General features: G+C 50.6%; 1 protein-coding gene across 1 annotated transcript in view, besides 4 other annotated features; it reads left to right on the forward strand.

The window, feature by feature from the left end:
• Positions 64–503: a silencer, noted in NCBI's record as "silent region_19114". NCBI's record gives its function as "represses an Ori minimal core promoter by ATAC-STARR-seq in GM12878 lymphoblastoid cells {active_cell/tissue: GM12878}" and the evidence as "EXISTENCE:reporter gene assay evidence [ECO:0000049][PMID:35858748]".
• Positions 80–374: an enhancer, noted in NCBI's record as "tiled region #54; K562 Activating DNase unmatched - State 1:Tss, and HepG2 Activating DNase unmatched - State 1:Tss". NCBI's record gives its function as "activates a minimal TATA promoter and a strong SV40 promoter by Sharpr-MPRA in K562 cells, with weak activation in HepG2 cells {active_cell/tissue: HepG2 | K562}" and the evidence as "EXISTENCE:reporter gene assay evidence [ECO:0000049][PMID:27701403]".
• The window catches only part of EIF4EBP1 (eukaryotic translation initiation factor 4E binding protein 1), a 29832-nt gene continuing 17673 nt past the window's right edge, over positions 283–12441 (forward strand). The window contains exon 1 of the mRNA NM_004095.4: positions 283–467. Coding sequence (NP_004086.1) covers positions 323–467 — 145 coding nt within the window. The 5' untranslated portion in view covers positions 283–322. The remainder of the gene's footprint in view (positions 468–12441) is intronic.
• Positions 1004–1103: an enhancer, noted in NCBI's record as "active region_27240". NCBI's record gives its function as "activates an Ori minimal core promoter by ATAC-STARR-seq in GM12878 lymphoblastoid cells {active_cell/tissue: GM12878}" and the evidence as "EXISTENCE:reporter gene assay evidence [ECO:0000049][PMID:35858748]".
• Positions 5198–5699: an enhancer, noted in NCBI's record as "H3K4me1 hESC enhancer chr8:37892967-37893468 (GRCh37/hg19 assembly coordinates)". NCBI's record gives its function as "activates a minimal SCP1, AML or CMV promoter by ChIP-STARR-seq in primed H9 embryonic stem cells {active_cell/tissue: H9 hESC(primed)}" and the evidence as "EXISTENCE:reporter gene assay evidence [ECO:0000049][PMID:30033119]".

Raw genomic sequence — 12441 nt, forward strand, 5'->3', positions numbered from 1 at the left:
CGCCCGCCATCCCCATATCCGTCCCTGCCAGCGTGGCGGGGAGGGACCCCGGACGGAGGGGCAGTCGCTGCGGGGCGGCGCCAGCGCCCGTGCGGAAGAGCCCGTGAGCAGACGGGAGTGGGTCGGGGGGCGGCGGGGGATCCCACGTGGAAGCAGCGTCCTGGAGCTGGGTGGGGCTGCGGCGCGGACTACAAATCCCAGGGGCGTGGGGCGGGAGAGGCGGAAGGGGCGTCCTGGGGCGGGGCGGCACGGGGCGAGGCGGAGCGAGGCTGGAGGCGCGGGAGGGCAGCGAGAGGTTCGCGGGTGCAGCGCACAGGAGACCATGTCCGGGGGCAGCAGCTGCAGCCAGACCCCAAGCCGGGCCATCCCCGCCACTCGCCGGGTGGTGCTCGGCGACGGCGTGCAGCTCCCGCCCGGGGACTACAGCACGACCCCCGGCGGCACGCTCTTCAGCACCACCCCGGGAGGTAGGCGCGGGCTTGGCGACGCCGCTTGCCGGCTCCTGGGCGGGCGGGAGGATCGGGAATCGCGGATTGGACCGGGTGTCCAGGCTCAAGGGCGCCGTGATTGGAAAGAACGGAAAAGGGGCATCGGAGAGACAGCGAGGGTCATGGAAGTGGCCGCCCGCTTCCCCTCTGAGTGCGTCTTCCAGACCCGAGTTACAAACTGCCCCGTTTGTTTCCTCTTTCTGTTAGGTGTCAGACAGCTGACACCTAACAAACACGCACGCCTCCAGGACAGCCACATGCCGAGCTGTGCTGCCCCTTGTGGGTGTTGGGGGCGCTCCCGAAGCGGGAGAGGGCGGAGTTAGGGTGGCCCACGATCCAGGAGAGGCCTGGCCTGGTGTTTTTATGGGATGGGTATTATCTGTTGGGATAAACGATTCCTGCAGGGCCCTTTTTCCTTCCCGAAGCACGCCGAGTTTTGTGTTGGACTCGCGCGCTCTGACTGAGGTTCGGATCTGGGGGTGCTTGCCTGCTCCAGCAGCGCCTCCCGGGCACCTGTGGCACGTTCCCCATTTACGCGAGTGGGATCTCCGCGGGGGGGACCCTGGCGCCACGGCCAGGGCTGTGCAGAAAAACACGTTCTTCTGTCCGGGGAGAGGAGGAGGCACCGTGTGACCTCCCTGGGAGAGGATGAGGAAGAGGAAGCTGAGCTGGCACGGGTGGGGGGGCCAGCCTCGGGCTGCCCTCAGGAACCTGGCATTCCCTCCCAGCCCCGGAGCCCCAGCGCACAGACGCTGATGAAACCTACGCGCCTGTTTGCATGATGAAATAAATCCTCGTGGCTCTCTCCTCCCCTCTCATTGTCGCACTGCCCCCACCCCTTTTTGCTCCTCTCCCTTCATTCTCCTCCACGCTGCTTTCCATACTACTAGAAAACGCGACAGATCCTGGCGCTTGGCTAGGTGGCGGGCGGGGGCCACATGCTTATTTTCTCAGGCAGCTGTCCCACCAGCAGCGAGCGCGGCCAGATCCGAGGTCCTCTGCTGTTTGATCCAAAACATACACTGTTAGAACGGTTAGGGATCTTGTCCAGCCCTGCCGTCTTATTCTACAGAGCCCGGCATTGAGGCCCCAGAGCTTGAACACGTGTCTGTTGCCCATTGTCACACCGTTTTCCCAGATTGGACAAGAAATAGCAACCAGGCAGAGAAGGGAGAAATGCTTCCTTTTCTATTAGAAATGAGCCAAGGAAAAGCTCGCAGGGGCTCTTGTTGCCATTCCCGACTCATCCTCTTTCCCTTGCTGGGTCTTTTGTAGTCCATGCTGTTCTCCTTTGTCTCTGTCACAATGGTCTACCAGGACAATTCCTGACAATTTTGGAGTTCTTTCAAATGAGGGTGTAAGTGTCTGCTGGATTTGTTCAGGGTGGGCCCTGAGGCCGGCCTGAAGGCGCAGGTAGCCCTTTTTTGCACTCTTTATTGCTGGATTGTTGGGTCAAATTGGAAGCCAGGATACTGTTTATAGGCACTTCTGGCCCGGGTACCAAGGTTCACACCTGTAATGCCAGCATTTTGGGGAGCCAAGGCAGGAGAATTGCTTGAGGCCAGGAGTTCAAGACCAGCCTGGGCAACATAGTGAGACTCCATCTCTACAAAGAAACAAACAAAACAACAACAAAATGTTGTCCTAGCTACTACAGAGGCTGAGGCCAGAGGATCGCTTGAGCCCAGGAGTTGGAGGCTGTAGTGAGCTATGATTGACCACTGCACTCCAGCCTGGGTGACAGAGCGAGACCCTATCTCTAAAATAAATAATAAATATAAAATATAGGAACTTCAAATCCACTTTTCACTTTGGGTTGGGAAGTGGGGAGTGGGCAGGGGGCTGACAGACCACAGCAAATCCCCTTCCCTTTGAAGGTCTTTAGCAGTAGGGGGAGTGGGGAAGGGACTTCTGCATCAGGGCATAGCATATGTTTCTGAGATCACTGGAAGAAGCTAGCAGTGCCAGGAGCCTAAAGCCAGCTCACTGTTTGGTCGTCCAGTGGAGCAGGTACAGCTCACAGTCCCTAAGCCAGGGAAACCTGGCTGACTTCCACTAAAGTCAAGCAAGCCTGGTCGGCCTCGATTAGCCAAGGTGTGGACTCTTCCTCCAAAGCCCACCTCAGCCCACCTCTGCCAGGGCAGAGAAGCCAAAATGGTCACATTGCAGCCAAAATGGTCACACCCTTTTGCTCCAGAGCAGAATACTGCCTCTCAGTCTTCCAGGTGCTTGAGGATAACTGGGGGCTTCATTTAAGTGCATATTCTGATTCTGTAGGTGGGGGTGGGAACTAGATTCAGCATTTCTTTCTTTTCTTTCTTTCTTTTTTTTTTTTTTTTTTTTGAGACAGGGTCTCACTCTATCACCCAGGCTGGAGTGCAGTGGCGCAATCTCAGCTCACAGCAACCTCCACCTCCTGGGTTCAAGCAATCCTCCCACCCCAGCCTCCCCAATAACTGGGACAACAGGCATGCACCACCCATGCCCAGCTGATTTTTGTATTTTTTGGTAGAGACGGGGGTTTCACCATGTTGACCAGGCTGGTCTCAAACTCCTGGCCTCAAGTGATCTGCCTGCCTCGGCCTTCCAGAATGCTGGGATTACAGGCGTGAGTCACCATGCCCGGCCTAGATTCAGCATTTCTAACTAGCTCTGACTGATTGGTGCACATACCACACTCTGAGTACTCAGGAATTAGTGAAACATAACTTCCCTCACCTTTCAGATCTCTGGAGTCTAGCAAAAAAAAAAAAAAGATGGCTCCATCCAGGTAAACTTTGATCTCTAAATCGTGGTGTGGAGAGCCAGGCTTTTGATAGAGTGTCTGCATGGCTGTCTGCACCTGCTTACTTATAGGGACTGTCAGCTTCTCAGGAAAAACCATTGGAGTAAGTACCCCCCAGTCACTCCTGCTGGGAATGGCCCTCAAGTGATTGTCCCTGGAGGGAAAGAAGCAGCAGTTGGGTTGCACTATCTCCATTCCTATGACTCCAGTTTGCTTTCCTTTTTTTTTTTTTTTTTTTTTGAGATGGAGTTTCGCTTTGTCGCCCAAGCTGGAGTGCAATGGTGAGATCTTGGCTCACTGCAAGCTCCGCCTCCCGGGTTCACGCCATTCTCTTGCCTCAGCCTCCCAAGTAGCTGGGACTACAGGCGCCCGCGATCAAGCCCGGCTGATTTTTTGTGTTTTTAGTAGAGACAGGGTTTCACCGTGTTAGCCAGGATGGTCTCGATCTCCTGACCTCGTGATCCGCCTGCATTGGCCTCCCAAAGTACTGGGATTACAGGCGTGAGCCACTGCACCCGGCCCTTTTTTTGTTTTTTTCCTGAGACAGGGTCTCATGGTGTCACCCAGGCTGGAGTACAGTGGCACAAACATAGCTCACTGCAGTCTCAAACTCCTGGGCTCAAGTGATCCTCCTGCCTCAGCCTTGCAAGTAGCTGGGACTATAGGCACGTGCCACCATGCCCTGCTAATTTTTTTATTTTTTTGTAGAGGCAGGGTCTCTATGTATTACCCAGGCTGGCCTCAAACTCCTGGGCTCAAGCAGTCCTCCCACCTCAGCCTCCCAAACTGCTGGGATTGTAGGCATGAGTCACCTCACCTGGCCTCCAGTTTGCTTTCCATGGTCATTAACCATTTGCACACTGAGGCTCTGCTCTGAGGTTAGCTGTCCAGAGTACTTAAGATAATTTAATTGCCGAAGGGAGTGTCATGTATGAATATTTGAGTCTGTGGAGTCTTAAAAATATCCAGCGACACCATAAACAGCTCATTAGCCAGCAGAACCTTTGAGTGGGTCAGAAAGAAACTTTCCCTCATCAATCTCCACATTCCCAGCTCCGTGTTGCATGTTTGACTCTGAAGCCTATATACAGGCTTGGATGGCAGTTGTGCCAAAGACCCGTACCTGGATAAGGTGAATCCGAGGTGAGCAGGTAGGGCTGCAGGTGTTAATGGCACCCTGTTTGGTTAAGCAAACAAGGTCTGTGCCCAGGAAGCTTACCTTGGAGCAGCTCCCAAGTCTTTGGACATGAAACAGGCAGTGCTGGGAAGAAGGGGATGTAGGCTGGGCACCAAAGCCAGAGCACAGCCCATGTCCTGAGGCCTTAGTCACATGGAGGGAAGAAATTATTAAGGATGGGTTAAAAGAGCTTGGACATTAATGCAGTGAGGGAGAAACGATGGACCCTCTTCTCACATTTACCTGAGCTTCCTTTTAAAGTGTTTGAAGGAGCTGGGTGCGGTGGCTCACTCCTGTAATCCCAGCTATTAGGAAGGCTGAGACAGGAAAATTACTTGAGGCCAGGAGTTCAAGACCAGCCTGAGCAACATAGTGAGACTCTGTCGGTATAAATTAAATAAATAAAATTTTTTAAAGTGTTGGAAGCATTCCACACTGTGTCCCTTATTAAAGATTTGGTGGGGGGTTCCTGGTGTAGAGCACTCCAAAATCCCTCCAATCCCCAGACTCCTTTTTATTATTATTATTATTTTGAGACAGAGTTTCGCTCTTGTTGCCCAGGCTGGAGTGCAGTGGTGCAATCTTGGCACACTGCAACCTACGCCTCCTGGGTTCAAGTGATTCTCCTGCCTCAGCCTCCCAAGTAGCTGGGATTACAGGCATGTGCCACCACACCCGGCTAATTTTTGTATTTTTATTAGAGACAGGGTTTCACCATGTTAGTCAGGCTGGTCTCAAACTCCTGACCTCAGGTGATCCACCCGCCTCAGCTTCCCAAAGTGCTGGGATTACAGGCATGAGCCACCACACCCGGCCTTATTATTTTATTTTATTTTATTTTATTTTTGAGGCAGTCTAACTCTGTCGCCCAGGCTAGAGTGCAGTGGCATGATTTCAGCTCACTGCAGCCTCCACCTGCCAGGTTCAGGCTGAGACAGGAGAATCCCGGGTAGCTGGGATGACAGGCACGCACCACCATGCCCAGCTAATTATTTATTTATTTATTTATTTATTATTATTTTCCTCAAGATGGAGCCTTGCTCTGTCGCCCAGGCTGGAGTGCAATGGTGCGATCTCGGCTCACTGCAACCTCCACCTCCTGGGTTCAAGCAATTCTCCTGCCTCAGCCTCCCGAATAGCTGGGTTTACAGGCGCGCTACCACGCCTGGCTAATTTTTTGTATTTTTAGTAGAGATGGGGTTTCACCACGTTGGCCAGGCTGGTCTCGAACTCCTGACCTCGTGATCCGCCCGCCTCAGCCTCCCAAAGTGCTGACATTACAGCCATGAGTCACCGCGCCCGGCCTATTTTATTTTATTTTTGAGGCAGAGTCTCATTCTGTCACCCAGGCTGGAGTGCAGTGGCACCGTCTCAGCTCACTGCAGCATCCGCCTCCTGAGTTCAAGCAATTCTCCTGCCTCGGCCTCCCGAGTAGCTGGGACCACAAACCCGGCTATTTATTTTTGTAGAGACAGGGTCATGCTTTGCTTCTGAGTCTGACCCTCTAGTTTTTTATTATTTGAAAGGAGAGGCCAGGTGCGATGGCTCACACCTGTAATCCCAGCACTTTGGGAGGCTAAGCAGATCACCTGAGGTCAGGAGTTCAAGACCAGCTTGGCCAACATGGTGAAACCCCATCTCTAATAAAAATACAAAAAAAAATTAGCCGGGCCTGGTGGCAGGCGCCTGTAATCCCAGCTACACAGGAGGCTGAGGCACGAGACTCACTCGAACGATTCTGGGTGACAAGAGTGAAACTCCGTCTCAAAGAAAAAAGAGAGAGAGTTTGATTTTTTTGCTTCCTAAAAGACCAAAAAAGTCCTTCATTGCCAAATCTGAGGAAAAAGGGTCAGCAGAGCAATACCATATTTATCCATTGACATAAAGTAGCGAGGCATTTTCTCATATAGACCTTTATTTTCATGTTCTGGAAGATGAGTTAGGAAGGCACAGCAATATTGTTTCTTCTTTTTTTTTTAATTTGAAACAGGGTCTCACTTTGTCACCCAGGCTGGAGTGCAGTTGCAGCCTCAACCTCCTGGGCTCAAGCAATCCTCCCATCTCAGCCTCCCAAGTAGCTGGGACTACAGGCATGCACCACCACAACCGGCTAATTTTTGTATTTTTTGGTAGAGATGAGGTTTCGCCATGTTGCCCAGGCTGGCCTCAAACTCCTGAGCTCAAGTAATCCACCCGCCTTGACCTCCCAAAGTTCTGGGATTAGAGGCATGCTCCACTGTGCTTGGCCTGGGAAGGCACAGCAATATTGAAAAAAAGGAACATTGCTTTCTAAGGTGAGTTTTAAAAAAAAAAAATGTTCAGTTGTGCACATAGATTCTTGCCTGTGCCAACAAACCCATGAAAAACCTGTTTCTTTCTGGTCTGACTTAGACCCATGCCTGGGGTCTCTCTCCATTATGATTCATAGCGAATGAATCACACGTTTTTGTTTACGTGTTTGTTCCCTAGGTTAGCCAGGAAATTTTTTCTGAGCAGTCTTACTCATCTTTGTATCCACATGACCTAATGCCAGGTCTAGTGTCTGGAAGGTGAAGAGTTGAAAAGAATGCTGGAATGAAAGCGTTCCCCTCAGGATAACCTAGTTTTCTTATTTTATTTATTTATTTATTTTTGAGACTGAGTCTTGCTCTGTCGCCCAGGCTGGAGTGCAGTGGCATGATCTCAGCTCACTGCAACCTCCACCTCCCTGGTTCAAGTGACTCTCCTGCCTCGCCTCCTGAGTAGCTGGGATTACAGGCACGCACCACCACACCCAGCTAATTTTTGTATTTTTAGTAGAGACGGGGTTTACCATGTTGGCCAGGATGGTCTCAATCTCCTGACCTTGTGATCCACCCGCCTCGACCTCCCAAAATGCTGGGATTACAGGCGTGAGCTACCATGCCTGGTCAGGATAACCTAGTTTTCTTACTGTCAGGCCTGAGTCTCCGCTGGCTTAATGATGACGTTTAAATTTCCTTTTCTGTCCTTTCAGTTGCAGGGTATAAGTGTTTATCTCAGAATGTCCCAGGGGCAGAAACTAACTTTCTCTGTTTTGATGATGTTGTCTGTTTTTTGTTTGTTTGTTTTTTGAGACAAAGTCTTACTCTGTTGCAGGTTGGAGTACAGTGGCACGATCATGCCTCACTGCAGTCTCAACCCCCTGAGCTCAGGTGATCCTTTTGCCTCAGCCTCTCCAGTAGCTGGGACTACAGGCACACACCACCACGCCTGGCTAATCTTTAAATTTTTAGTAGTGACAGAGTTTTGTCATGTTGCCCAGGCTGGTCTGGAACTCCTGGGCTCAAGAGATCCACCACCTCAGCCTCCCAAAACACTGGGATTACAGGCGTGAGCCACTGGACCAGCCAGAGAATAACCTTCTCTGAACCCTCCTACTTATCCTCATACAGATAGTCCCCGATTATGATGGTGTGACTACAATTTTTGACTTTACGATGGTATGAAAGTGATATGTGTTCAGTAGGAATTGTACTTTTAAAAATTGTTTTAAGACAGATTCTTGGCCGGACACGGTGGCTCATGCCTGTAATCCCAGCACTTTGGGAGGCTGAGGTGGGTGGATCACGAGGTCAAGAGATAGAGACCATCCTGGCTAACATGGTGAAACCCCGTCTCTACTAAAAGTACAAAAAATTAGCCAGGTGTGGTGGCACACACCTGTACTCCCAGCTACTCAGGAGGCTGAGGCAGAAGAATCGCTTGAACCCGGGAGACAGAGGTTGCAGTGAGCCGAGATCACGCCACTGCACTCCAGCCTGGGAGACAGAGCAAGACTCCATCTCAAAAAAAAAAAAAAAGGCAGAGTCTTGTTCTATTACCTACATTAGAGTGCATTGGCATGATATCGGCTCACTGCAACCTCCGCCTCTCAGGCTCAAGCAATCCTCCCACCTCAGTCTCTCAAGTAGCTGGGATTACAGGTGTGCGCCACCACGCCCAGCCTAGAAATTGTACATTGAATTGTGAATTTTGATCTGTTTCTGGGCCAGCGATACGAGGTACATGCTCTCGAGATGCTCAGCAGGGACAGTGAGCTGCAGCTCCCATTTAGCCCCACAAACATGAGGACAAATGGCCAGTCACAAGCTTGTCCAACCCGAGACCCTCAGGCCACATGCACTCTGGACAGCTTTGAATGAGGCCCAATACAAGTCCGTAAACTTCCTTAAAACATTATGAAATTTCTTTCTTTTTTTTTTTTTTTTAAGCTCAGCTGGAGTGCAATGGCACAATCTCGGCTCACTGCAACCTCTGCCTCCCAGGTTCAAGTGATTCTCCTGCCTCAGCCTCCTGAGTAGCTGGGATTACAGGCACGCGCAACCACACCCAGCTAATTTTGTATTTTTAGTAGAAATGGTGTTTCTCTATATTGGTCAGGCTGGTCTCGAACTCCCAAGCTCAGGTGATCCGCCCACCTCGTCCTCCCAAAGTGTTGGGATTACAGGCGTGAGCCACCACACCCAGCCAGTGTTAGTGTATTTTATGTGTAGTCCAAGACAATTCTTCTTCCAGTGTGGCCCAGGGAAGCCAGAAGATTGGACAGCCCACTATAGAGTCTATAGTGTGCTGTGTTGCCAGGTGGTTTTGTCCAACTGTAGGCTAATGTAAGTGTTCTGAGCACATTTAAGGTAGGGAAGGCTAAGCTATAATGTTCAGTAGGTTAGGTGTACTAAATACTTTTTTTTTTTTTTTTTTTTTGAGTTGGAGTGTTGCTCTATCGCCCAGGCTGGAGTGCAGTGGTGCAATCTCTGCTCACTACAGCCTCTGCCTCCCAGGTTCAAGCCATTCTCCTGCCTCAGCCTCTTGAGTAGCTGGGATTATAGGCGTGTGCCACCACACCCAGCTAATTTGTATTTTTAGTAGAGATGGGGTTTCACCATGTTGGCCAGGCTGGTCTCAAACTCCTGACCTCAAGTGATCTGCCCGCCTCAGCCTCCCAAAGTGCTGGAATTACAGGCGTGAGCCACTGCACCTGGCCCTAAATGCATTTTTGACTTAAGATATTTTCTATGTATGGTGGATTTATTGGGACATACTTCATTTTAAGTCAAGGAACATTTGTATTAAACAGTATTGCTGGTATTTCTTGTCCCAATATTACCGAACAGGGAGTGGATGTGACTTTTTTTCTTTTTTTTAAAAAGCAAAAACAAAAAACTTTTAACAGATAGGGCCTCACCTCTGTGGCCCAGGCTGGAGTGTCTATGGGCTGAAGTACAGTGGCGCGATCACCACTCACTGTAACTTTGAGCTCCTGGGCTCAAGCAATCTTCCTGCCTCAGCTTCCCGAGTAGCTGGGACCACAGGCACATGCTACCACACCTGGCTAATTTTTATTTTTTGTAGAGATGAGGTCTATGTTGCCCAGGCTGGTCTTGAACTCCTGGCCTCAGGCAATCCTCCTGCCTCAACCTCCCAAAGCATTGGGATTACAGATGTGAGCCACTGCATCTGGCAACTTTTTCTTACACTGAACAAGCCAGTATTGGGGCCGGGGTCTCAGACACTGTGACTGATGCTGTTTATTTACCTGTTTGCATCCAGCATTGCTGACAAGGCAAGAGTAAGTAACTGCTGCTCACTGACATTTGGGTATGCACAGCAAAGGGCTCCATGTAATCTGATGGTTATGCCCATGAAAGCTCATTAAGAGAGCTCAGATACTAGGCCCAGAGGATCAGGGCTTCTTAGGTGTGCAGGGACACTTGGTGAAAATGGTTGTATCAGTTAGCTATTGCTATATAACAAGCCATCCCCAAACAGTAACTAAACAGCAGCGATTTGTTATTGTTCTCCATCTTTTGGGTTCGTTGGGTTCTTTGTAGATCTTGCTGAGCTTACTCATATGGCTGCATACAGTGTACAGCTGGACTGTCCTGGGGTGGAAGCTCCAAGATGGTCTTACCCATACATCTGGGGCATTGCTGGGGACAGCTGGAAGCCTGGGAGTTCCCTCTATCCTCTTGGTCTCCCAACATTCTGATCACTCAGTAGTCTAGCTTGAGTTTTATTTACATGGTAGTTTCCAAGGCCACTTAAGGCCTAGGCTCAGAAGTCCCATAACATCACTTACCAAGTATTCTGTCGGTCAAAGCAAGTCACAGGGCCAGCCCAGATTCAGGGAGAGGGGAAATACATGCCTGTTGTTGTTGTTGTTGTTGTTGTTGTTGTTTTGAGATGGAGTCTCTCTCTGTTGCCTGAGTAGCTGGGATTACAAGCATGCACCACCATGCCCAGCTAATTTTTGTATTTTTAGTAGAGACAGGGTTTTACCATGTTGCCCATGCTGGTCTTGAACTCCTGAGCTCAAGTGATCCGCCCGCCTCGGCCTCCCAAAGTGCTGGGATTACAGGCGTGAGCCATCGCGCCTGGCCTTTTTTGTTTGCTTGTTTGTTTGACAGAATCTGGCTCTGTCGCCCAGGCCAGAGTGCAGTGGCACGATCTCAGCTCACTGCAACCTCCGCCTCCCAGGTTCAAGTGATTCTTTTGCCTCAGCCTCCCAAGTAGCTGGGATTACAGGCACCTGCCACCACGCCCGGCTAATTTTTGTATTTTTAGTAGAGGCGGGGGTCTCACCATGTTGGCCAGGCTGGTCTCGAACTTCTAACCTCAGGCGATCTGCCTGCCTTGGCCTCCCAAATCACTGGGATTACAGGCATGATCCACCACACCTGGCAGGAAATATATGCCTTTTAATGAGAGAAGCTACATGTGCAAACAGGAATGGGAGGAGTGGTAGGAGCCACATTTTCGAATAATCCTCCACAAGGGCCAGACCTCAAAGAATGGGTCTTAGAGGGAACGTGCTGCCTGTCCTGATGTGTGGCCAGCAGAGCCAGGACCAGGTGCAGAAGCCGACTGGAATCACAACCCTGTGAATCAGGGTTAAAGAACAAAGGACACCTTCCTAAAGGTACTGACTCATAGATCCCATACCCTGTTCTCACGGCCTTATGTTCACTTCCACAAAGCAAACCACACAAGGTCGGGTGCAGTAGCTCATGCCTGTAATCCCAGCACTGTGGGAAGCCAAGGCAGGTGGATTGCTTGAGGCCAGGAGTTGGAGACCAGCTTGGGCAACATAGTGAGACCCTGTCTTTACAAAAAAATTTTAAAACTAGCCAGGTGTAGCAGCATGCACCTCTAGTCCTAGTTACTTGGGAAGCTGAGGCAGGAGGATCTCTGGAGCCCAGGAATTTGAGGTTACGGTGAGCTATGATCACGCCACTGCACTTCAGCCTGTGTAATAGAGTGAGACCCTGTCTCAGAAGAAAAAAAAAAAGCAAACCACACAGGTGGCCATGATGCTGGACCGCTAAGCAATCTATTCCTCTTTGTGTTGAGCCTTCATTGCAGGCCATCACCCAAACCATCTCCTCTTCCCCCTCCAAGTGTCCTGCAGGCCAGGCTTTGGGAACACTCTTCAGAGGAGCCCACACCTGCCCTGCCCTACCCAGCACTACCATGTGAATATCCTTAATTTTCTGTAGTACTTGCAATAGGATGGACTCATGTGTCTGTGCCCAGCAGTACAAAACCAGGCAGGAATGAGAATAGCAGAGGGTACAGTCGGGCTCAGTACTCCCTTTGGTTTGGAAGTGGACAGTGTGGAGGTCTCTTGCCTTAAGGAGCATGTGTGTGAGTGTGTGGTGTAAACAGATTTCTCTCTTCTGCCCTTCTGAACACAAGGGTAGAGTGGGCCTGCCTTAGTTTACTATGGCTGCCATAACAAAATACCACAGATTGGGTGCTTTAAACAAAATGAATTATCTCCTAGTTCTGGAGGCTGGAAGTCCAAGATCAAAGTGCCAGCAGGGCTGGGTTCTGAGGCCCTTCTCCTTGGCTTGCAGATGGCCACCTTCTCCCTGTATCTGCACATGGGCCTTCCTCTGTCTGCATCCAAATCTCTTCTCATAAGGACCCCAGTCAGACTGGATTAGGGCCCCACCCTAACAGCCTCATTTTAA

Source organism: Homo sapiens, chromosome 8 (assembly GCF_000001405.40).
Source record: "Homo sapiens chromosome 8, GRCh38.p14 Primary Assembly".
Classification (NCBI taxonomy): Eukaryota; Metazoa; Chordata; class Mammalia; order Primates; family Hominidae; genus Homo; species Homo sapiens.